The sequence below is a fragment of the Homo sapiens genome, chromosome 1 (genome assembly GCF_000001405.40).
Source record: "Homo sapiens chromosome 1, GRCh38.p14 Primary Assembly".
Taxonomy (NCBI): Eukaryota; Metazoa; Chordata; class Mammalia; order Primates; family Hominidae; genus Homo; species Homo sapiens.
In genome coordinates this window covers 109,239,117-109,248,740 of record NC_000001.11, presented here as the reverse complement: position 1 = coordinate 109,248,740, position 9,624 = coordinate 109,239,117, and the positions used below count along the sequence as shown (strand labels likewise).

The following is a 9,624-nucleotide window of genomic DNA, read 5'->3' as shown; positions in this document are numbered from 1 at the left end:
CCTGGTACCCGGGCTCCTGACCCTCTCCAAGGCAGCTTCATTTGAGAGGGTGTGCAGGATTCCAGGGGTTCTCCAAGAGGACCAGACATGAAGCTGGACCACACGGAGAGCCAGGCAGGAGCCGTGCAGGCGACCCAGAAAAGGCTTCCCTACATCCTGGAGCAGCCAGGGGCCCAGTCAGGTAGTCCCTGGGGGGATGCCCTGGCCTGGGGGGATGCCTGGGCCTGGGTCCCAGCCTCCAACACCACAGCTATGTGACCTTGCTCAAATTCTGTGCCTCAATGTCCCTTTTTGTAAAATGAGGGGATTGAATAAGGTGAATGGTTCTCAAATGTTTATTTAGCAGTAGAATTCTTTTCTTCAAAAGAAATCTGAAGTGGAAGGCCAGAATATAGAACAGATGAGTAGTGCTGCTGGGTTGAAGTGAGGGGGTCAGGGCCTTGCCCCTCTCCACCACTCCCCCAACCAAGAAATCCCTGGGCTGCTCTGTGCAACTTGAGGGTCTGGAGGAACCCATCTGAAAAGCACTGGATCAGGTGCTCCCTTCTACCACTGCCCCCGGTCACAGTGGTGCCACTCTCACTGGGTCACAGCAGAGGATCCCCCAGCCCCAGGCCCAAGGAGTGTCTGTGTGACCACACAGTGAGGCCAAGGATGAGAAATCAGCTTTTCTCTTTTCCCCTGGGGAAACAGGAAAGGAGATGGGCCTTGGGTACAGCAAGAAAGATTAGGGTTAGACTGTGCTCCTGGCAGGATGGATAGAAGTAGGAGGAGGACCCATGGCTCAAGGAAATGCCCTCCCCTTTGACCAAACAGGAGCTTTCTTCCTCTGAGCAAGGCCAAGGGCAGCTCTGGAGATGGAGGCGTGGGTTACACGCCTCCGCAGGGCTCTGCCTCTCTAGACTTCCTCAGACTCTGGAGTTTGGAAGGATCTAGGGGCTGCGTGGGCATTTTGTTCTTCACCTAATAGCCATGTGGTGCAGAGAATGCTTGGAAATTATACCATCTGTTAATTATCCTTTGAATTGGGGTTGGGTAATGAGACTCTCATTTCTGGTGAAGGCCCAAGCCAACCCGTGGAGAAGCTGCAACTCTCCATTCATCTCGCTCCCTTTGTTGCTAAAATAAGCTTTCTGGGTGGGAGGAAAGAGTAGCCCTGGCTCTGGATCACGGAAGGTGGTTCTGGGGCCTTGCACCTTGAGGCAGGGGTTGCCAGGGAAGGCATGAGCTCAGAAGCCCCTTCCAGGTGGGTGGCCTTTCCACCCAAAGGCAGATAGGTTGGGGGATCCAAGGAACCCTTTCCTTCATCCCCAAGCACATTTGGCAAATAGTCCTTAATCCTCCCCAGTCCTCCCTCCGGGGGCACAGGACAGAGCTCTCTCCCCATCACTTCCTCAGATACTTCCAACTCCCAAAAGCAGGAGGGAAATTTCCAAGTTTCATATGCATCACTGAGAGTCTCAAATGAGGGAGGGGTTGCCCTGGTGGAGGCCTCCCTGATCCCCAGGGAAGGGCTGCCTGCTTCATGGAGCTTTCCAGTTGTAAGGAACCTATGGACCTCCCTCCTGTGTGTAAGGGACATTTAGGCCTCCCTTCTGCATAGCTTTTAGGTGCTATCAAGGGGCAGCAAGGGCTTGGGGTCTGTTAAAAGAGAATTTATTGTTCTTCTAGTCCAAACCTCCCACTTCACAGTGGAGGCTCTGGGAAGGAAGGAAACCTGCTTGGCTAGCCTTGCGGCTGTCCTTTAGCTCTGGTGGGATTTCCTTACTCAGGTTGCTTCCTGAGGACCCCCTGGATAAGGCATGGCCCTGGCTTTCAACACAACAGGGTCGCATGGGTGAAGTGCTCCAGAAGCAACTGAGAGAAAAGGCTAAAGGAATTCAGAGGACAGAGCAGTGAGGGTGGAGGAAATCCCAGAGGGCCTCTAGAGGAGACGGGACTTGGGCTGCATCTTCAAGAATCAGGAACAGCATTCCTGGAAGAGGAATTCATCAGTTAAGTCACTTAATCTACACATTAAGTGTCTTCTCCATGATTATACAGCTAGTAATGGAAGAGCTAGGATTTGGACCCCGGCAATCTGACCCCAGAGCCCACTCTCTTAAGCAGTACACTATGAATGAATGAAAGGAATGAATGAAATGCAAGCATCAGCTTGGCTGGAGCTGAAGATTGGGGTGGCTCTGCTGTGGCCTAGCACGCTGGTGAGGAAGAACAAGGTGAGCTCTGCCTTGGGCAGATCCCTGTGGCCTGAAATTCTGGAACCAATGGCCTGCTGGGAAGGAGGGGTGGGGAGGGAGGCTGCTGATGGGATCGGTCATGGTGACCTTTTGTGGGTGGGCAGGGCAGTTTCTCTGGAAAGAGAAAGAGGCCCTGGCACCCGATCCCATTTCTGGGCTCTGTGCTGCTTTAGAAAGGGCACAGAAACCAGAAGGAGAGAACCTGGCCATGGGTGACTCCTGGAGCTCCTGGACTGTGGGGTGGGTGGCGTGAAGGAACCAGGAGCCAGCAGACTGGGGGATGGGGGTGGCCAGAAATCTGAACACCCTTCGGTCTACACTTGCCTGTCGTGCCCCGCCCACTGTTCCCCACTTTCTTCAAGGCTGGAAGGTGCACTCCTTGTGGGGGCTCTGTTGTTTCTCAGTTCCCCACTTCAGGTCTGTCACAGAGGGGGATACTCAGTCAGGATTTTATGGATTCTTCATGTGGTCACCTCCCCTCCAAACCAGTCTCTGCTCGGCAGTGAAAGTAATTTTTTTTTAAACTAATAAACATTTTTAGGTTTAAAAAATCTCCCCCAGTTTTTTATTTGGGAAAATTTCAAGCCTTCAGAAAAATCAAAAGAATGGTGTAATGGTATAATAAATACCCAGATATTCTCCTGCTAGATTCAACAATTTTTATTTTATTTTTTTCAGACAGGGTCTCACTGTGTTGCCCAGGCTGGAGTGCAATGGTGTGATCATAGCTCACTGCAGCCTTGACTGCTTGAGAACAGCCCCAAGTGATCCTCCCACCTCAGCCTCCTGAGTAGCTAGCTGGGACTACAGGTGCAGGCCACCCATGCCCAGCTTTTTTTTTTTTTTTTTTTTTTTTTTTGAGAGGGGGTCTTGCTGTGTTGCACAGGCTGATCTCAAATCCTGGTCTCAAGTGGGATTACATATGTGAGCCACTGTGCCTGGTGTCTGGATTCAATAATTGTTGACACTCTGCTTTATGTCTCTCAATTTTTGAAGAATGAGAGGAAAATGAGGTGCCTGAGCCCTGGGCCCCTCCGCAGGCAGCTCCTGAGAGTCAGGGAATGCAGTATTTTTTTTTTTTAATTTTTTTTGAGACGGAGTCTTGCTCTGTTGCCCAGGCTGGAGTGCAGTGGCACAATCTCGGCTCACCACAACCTCTGCCTCTCGGGTTCAAGTGATTCTCCTGCCCAGCCTCCCAAGTAGCTGGGATTACAGGCATGCACCACCATGCTCGGCTATTTTTTGTATTTTTAGTAGAGATGGGGTTTCACTATGTTGGCCAGGCTGGTCTCAAACCCTTGACCTTGTGATCCGCCCGCCTCGGCATCCCAAAGTACTGGGATTACAGGTGTGAGCCACTGTGCCTGGCCAGGAATGCAGTTTTGTGGGTAAAGTGAATGAGTTTAGAGCTGCCCTTAGAGTAGCCTAGAGACCCAGCTGGGCTACCAGATGGTGGCTCCAGGTATAAAGAGACATCTGGTCAGCCCTCTCTGCCATCCATCCAGTCATCAATCCATCCATCCATCCATCCATCCATCCATCCTTCCTTCCTCATTTCAGGTATTTATTTTTTGACCAATATTTTCCAAGTGCCTCCCCTTCTTCCCTTTCTTGCACACCCACAGGACTGCTGCTTCGACCAGGAACATGAAGGGGAATTCCTGGTATCATCTAATATCCAGTCCAATCCAAATTCCTTACTGTCTCCCAAAGGTCTTAGACAGCTGCTGCTTTCAAGTTCGTGGATTACATTTGGTCATATGTCACTCTTTTTTTTTTTTTTTTCTCTCTCTCTCTCTCTCTTTCCTTTTTTGTTGACATCGACTGAAGAGTCCAGTTTTCTTATTGAAGTGCCACATTCTGCATTTATCTGATTAAAGGATACCTAATGGTATCCTTCACAGGGTACTATTGCACGGCCTTAGATCTGAGCATGTCATTCCCCTTCTGAAAACCCTGCCGTGGGCCTCTGTTGTACCTTGAATAAAATCCAGCGTCCTTATATTTATCCACAAAGTCCAGTGTGGAGTGGCCCAGCCTCTTCTCACTCCTCCCCTTTCACTCTGTTCTGGACATGCTGGCTTCCTTCCAGCTGTTGAACATGGCAGTCTTAAATGCCCCCACTTTCCTGGCACATATGACAACTTGTAATTAGAGTATTCACTTGGCTAACATCAGTCTTACCCACTGGCAGTGAGCTCCAGGACCAGCGAGAACACATATGTCTTGAATGCCTATCACCTAGCACCTAGCACAGGCCTGACACACACAGTAGGCACGTGGAAAATATTGGTCAAAAAATGAATACATGGGCCAGGCATGGTGGCTCATGCCTGTAATCCCAGCAAATTGGAAGGCCAAGGCAGGTGAATCACTTGAGGTCAGGAGTTTGAGACCAGCCTGGCCAACATGGCAAAACTCTGTCTCTACAAAAAATACAGAAAGTAGCTGGCCGTGGTGGCATGCGCCTATAATCCCAGCTACTTGGGAGGCTGAGACGTGAGAATCACTTGAACCCAGGAGGCAGAGGTTGCAGTGAACCGAGATCATTCCACTGCACTCCAGCCTGGGTGACAGAACAAGACTGTCTTAAAAAAAAAAAAAGATAAAAGATAAAATGAATACATGAATGGAGGATGGATGGATGGATGGAAGAGAGGGGTGACCACATGTCCCTTTATGCCTGGAGCCACCATCTGGTAGGCCAGTTGGGTCTCTAGGCTGTTTTAAGGGCAGCCCTGAACTCATTCACTTTAACCACAAAACTGCATTCCCCATGCCTGCTGCAGCCAGGGGTAGAGGTTTTGATGTCCCAGCCCTGTGAGATAGACCTTCTTTGGCGCTTGTTAAAAGATGATATTGGATGCTTTATCCTAGTGATAGGTTCCACCCACAGTGCCAGTGTTCTTTGTCAAGGGTGGCTTAATAGGCCCAGCATTCCATAAAGATGTAAAGCCATCTAAGATCCAGCTGAAAATACTGCCTCTGACCACCGGGCAGGAAGAGATGGAACCTGGGGCTGAGCTTCGAGCGGCAAATCCCTAAGCACCCTCTGAATAACGTGGCTGTTCAGGCTGTCAGAGCAGGCCAAGGAAGGAGGCCCTGTCTGGCCAGAGCCATGCTCCAGCCACGGTGGTAGGTGGCTAAGTGTGAGAGGTACACAGATGAGCTATGTCCCCAAGGGACAGCCAGTCCCTTGGACAGAGACAAAAGCTGTCACAGAGCAATAGTCACTAATATTTTTGTGTGGGGGTGGAGGAGTTAGGGAGGGCTTTTTAAAGAAGGTGGCATTTGGCCGGGCACAGTGGCTCGTGCCTATAATCCCAGCACTTTGGGAGGCCTAGATGGGCGGATCGCCTGAGGTCGGAAGTTTGAGACCAGCCTGACCAACATGGAGAAACCCCGTCTCTGCTAAAAATATAAAATTAGCCAGGTGTGATGGCGTATGCCTGTAATCTCAGCTACTTGGGAGGCTGAGGCAGGAGAATCGCTTGAACCCAGGAGGCGGAGGCTGCGGTGAGCCGAGATCGCACCATTGCACTCCAGGCTGGGCAACAAGAGTGAAACTCCATCTCAAAAAAAAAAAAAAAAAAAGAAAGTGGCATTTGAGCTATCTTGAAGAGGAAGGAAGAATTCCACTAATAGGCAGGAGGAAAAGGCATCCAGGCAGGGGGAACAGTGTGAGCAAGCGTGGAGAGGTGCAACACACGGTCAGTGCCAGGAAACAGGAGGAAACAAGGGGGCGGTGAGAATAAGGAGCAGAGAGCCGCTAATCTGAACTGGGGGCACATTTTGATGAGCTGGGGCTCCAGCTGAGAAGTCTGGACCTTATAAGTTGAGGGGAACCATCTGAAGTGTTTTGGCAGGGGAGGAATGATCATGGCTGTGCCATCTGGCAGGCTAATCTGGCACAGTGAGGAGGCTGCGCCGGAAGAAGGGACTGAGGTCCAGCAGACTAGCAAGGAGGCCGCTGTAATAGTCCAGGAGGAGGAGGGCTGTGCTGGGGCCAGGGAGCAGGCTGTCAAGGGGGCAGACCTGAGTGATGAAGACTCAATGGCGCTGCGAAACAGACTGGCCCCTGGAGATGAAGAGGAGGGAGTTGTCCAGGGTGAGTCTCAGGTGTGTGTTGGGGTGCCTGAATACTAAGAGGAGATGCCCAATGTGTATGCTGGGGGTGGGTGGAGATGCTCAGATGAGAGAGAATGGATTTGAGAGCCCTGCATGTGGAGGTCACAGAGCAGCAGGGAAAGCGGAGGTGGAGGCCAGCATTAGGGTCAGGTGCCATCTCCTGACCCTGCCCACATCTCCAGCCTCCAGTCAGTATCGCCCTTACTTCATGCTTCAGCCATTCAGGCCTTCTTCCTGTCCCCTCGTGCAGTTCCCTCTGGAACAGTTCACCTTCCCTCTGAGGGGAATGGGGTGAAGGAGGGCCAGGAATGTTAATGAGGTAACAGAGCCTGCAAGTGTCCACTGTTCATTCATCTTTGAGGGAGAGGAGCCAGATGGGATCGCAATTTGACAGGAGCGGCAGGAGTGCAGGATGGCTGTTTTCAGATGGGGAATATGTTAGCAGGTCGGGACTGAGGGGAAGTGGGGCGGGAGGTTCAGCAGAGAGCTAGCTCAAGAACAAGGACTCAGGGGAAGCAGGATGGTGGCGAGTTCCAGGGCACAAGTAGATAAGACCTGGTTTTGGAGAAGGAGTAAAAAAAAAAAAAAGGTTTTCTCTGAGACAAGATGGAAGGAGGCAAGGATGAAGCGTATTCCAAATGGGAGCTTAATTCTTCAATTTCTTCAGGTTTAAAAACCACTTGTCCCAGAAGGTCACACCGTCTTATCAGCAATTTACACCCCAATGAAAATAAACTCCCAGACCATTTTGACAGCAGGTTTGTGTAGGGGGAAGGGAACCAAGTCCCATGGAGGGACAGGGACCAATCTCCAAAATGCAGGGCTTGTGAACCAGCCAGTCAGAGCAGCAGAAGAGGACCCGCCCCTCCGTAACAAGAGGTTCTCTCGGAGGTGGCTGGGACACCCTACCTCCGCCGGAAGGTCCCAGAGAGGTAAAGACCTGGAGTTCAGGGCTTCTTTCCTGGCAGATGGATGGGGAGCTGCACATTGCTGGGTTTCTGCAACATGAACCTGCCTGCAGCACCCCCACCCCACCCCCATGGGGAGGGCTTTTTTAATTTTTATTTTTTTGAGACAGAGTCTCACTCTGTCACCCAGGCTGGAGTGCAGTGGCACAATCTCGGCTCACTGCAACCTATGCCTCCTGGGTTCAAGCGATCCTCCTGCCTCAGCCTCCTGAGTAGCTGGGATTACAGGTGCGCACCACCATGCTCGCCTAATTTTTGGTATTTTTAGTAGAATCAGAGTTTCACCATGTTAACCAGGCTGGTCTCGAACTCCTGACCTCAGGCGATCCGCCCTCCTAGGCCTCCCAAAGCGCTGGGATTACAGGTTGGCCCCGCCGGAGAGGGCTCTTAAAAGGGCAATGTCAGAGGCCGAGGCATCAGCCCCACCAGGACCTGGCCAAGTCCAGGCTGCAAGGAAGCACTCCCCTTTTGTACCTGGGAAGAGCTGCTGGGGAACCCCATGTTGGGAGGTAACTGGGAGAGCGGGGCAGGCCCCTCATCCCGGCACAGGCTCCGACACGCAGTACATTTGTCTGGCGCCCATCCCAGCTCTGCCTGTCAGACTCATCCTGGGAGTGCAGCCAGGGCCGCCCCCGCCGCGTACCCCCTGGGGAAGGATGGGGACTCGGGGAGAGGAGGCATTCTCAGGACCTGGGGTAAACCGGAAAAGCTTCAGGGGAGGAAAAGCAGGACAGACGGCTAGGAGAATGTTGGTTCCCAGGAGTGAGGTTTCAGTGTTTGGCTAATGAGCTGCCCTGCCCAGCCTGGACTGTGAGCGCAGGCAGGTCCCTCGGCCTTACGTTGGGTCCCCAGTTACCAGCCTCTTTAGAGTTTCTAGAAGTCTGGCTTATGGTTGTCTCTCTTGGTGGAGAGGCCAGACTGTTGGTCCCAGTGTTTCCTCACTCCCTGCCTAAAGCACCCAGACCTGCATCTTGGGCCCTGAATACCTGGGTGTGGGAACCCAGGGTTGGTGAGGGACCCAGGGCTCTGACTCACTCCACTAGGCCTCTGGAGGGTGTTTGCTAACTGAGGTAACCTGGGTAGCTGAGGTTGGAGATGGGGCAGGTCAAGGTGCCAGAGATGAGGGCATCAGGCGTGGGATGCGGAGGCAACTACCAGGGTGGAGTCAAGGCTATTGGGCCTGTTCCCAACTGCTCGGCTTCCAGGTGGGTCGGCCCCTCCTAAATGAAGCTTGCATCAGCCCCATCCCACTGCCTCAGGGAGGGAGAGTGTCTGGTTTTCCCTCTCTGAAGGAAGGCGAACCACACCTTTCCCAACAGTTATTTGTGAGCAGGAACTGTGTTACCTTCTTTCTGTAAACCCTGCTCCTAATGGTGCCTGGCACAAGGTAAGCACTCGGTGACCGTGTGTGCCCTCCTGCTGTTGTGCTCTTGGGTATGACCTGTGGGGAGGGACCTCAGCCACAGTCATCCTTGCCTTCACTACCATTGACTTCCTCTCCTCTGGCTTCTGGAAGCATGGGGTCCCTTATAGTTACTTTCTGCTAACAAGCCAGTTTGTCCATACAGCCATCTTCCTAGCCAGGCTCCTACACCAGTCCCTACACGGGCAGGAGGAAGGCTGGCAGGGAAAGCTGGGCTGCCCAAGGCAGGAGGGTCTCTCTGCACAAAGCAGCTGAGAGTCCAGGCAGCCAGCTCCAGCAGGTAAGTCAGCTGGGTCCTCAGGGACTCAAAGCCCCAGCTTCTGCCCTCCCACAGAGCTCTCAGGGCCATGGCAAAAAGCAGAGCCTCCTACTGGTAGGAAGGTGACAGGCACCAGGAGCCTAAGCAGGTAGGCGTGGGGAGTGGTGCAGGCAGCTGTAGGGACTTCTAAGACAGAGCTAAGGCAGAGCAGGGGCGTTCAGGGCCCTGTGAGAGTTCCCAGTGGGCTTCTGGAATGGTATAGGGGGTGGGGCAAAACTAGCCTCCTGCACACTGTGTACGCTGCCTTTCTTCAAACCAAATAGTTGAGGCCACAGGAAATGTGAGTTTCTGGTCCTTCTGAATTACAAATGGGAGCAGCTTGCTCTTTGTCCCCTTGTCCCGGCTTTGTTATCCCAGAGCTGGGGCAATGGGCTACGGCCCAGGCGGGTCTGCCTGTGGGCCCCCAGCTGGCATAGCCAGGCAAGACAAGAGAGCCACTGTCACCCCTTCACGCACCTACCTCAGTTTTGACAGGGTTTCCAGCAGCAAGATTAATAGGATCAATCTCAAGCCCCCAGTGGAAAATGGAGCACATGGCCCCTTTCC

The 9,624-nt window shown here is 52.6% G+C and overlaps 4 annotated features.

Annotated features, from left to right (window-relative positions):
- Positions 5,747-6,246: an enhancer, noted in NCBI's record as "H3K4me1 hESC enhancer chr1:109785117-109785616 (GRCh37/hg19 assembly coordinates)". NCBI's record gives its function as "activates a minimal SCP1, AML or CMV promoter by ChIP-STARR-seq in primed H9 embryonic stem cells {active_cell/tissue: H9 hESC(primed)}" and the evidence as "EXISTENCE:reporter gene assay evidence [ECO:0000049][PMID:30033119]".
- Positions 7,600-7,894: a silencer, noted in NCBI's record as "tiled region #12007; HepG2 Repressive non-DNase unmatched - State 18:Pol2". NCBI's record gives its function as "represses a minimal TATA promoter and a strong SV40 promoter by Sharpr-MPRA in HepG2 cells {active_cell/tissue: HepG2}" and the evidence as "EXISTENCE:reporter gene assay evidence [ECO:0000049][PMID:27701403]".
- Positions 7,905-8,600: an enhancer, noted in NCBI's record as "H3K27ac-H3K4me1 hESC enhancer chr1:109782763-109783458 (GRCh37/hg19 assembly coordinates)". NCBI's record gives its function as "activates a minimal SCP1, AML or CMV promoter by ChIP-STARR-seq in naive H9 embryonic stem cells {active_cell/tissue: H9 hESC(naive)}" and the evidence as "EXISTENCE:reporter gene assay evidence [ECO:0000049][PMID:30033119]".
- Positions 9,002-9,416: a silencer, noted in NCBI's record as "fragment chr1:109781947-109782361 (GRCh37/hg19 assembly coordinates)". NCBI's record gives its function as "represses an EF-1alpha promoter that drives an FKBP-Casp9 reporter gene in an ReSE screen in HepG2 liver carcinoma cells {active_cell/tissue: HepG2}" and the evidence as "EXISTENCE:reporter gene assay evidence [ECO:0000049][PMID:32094911]".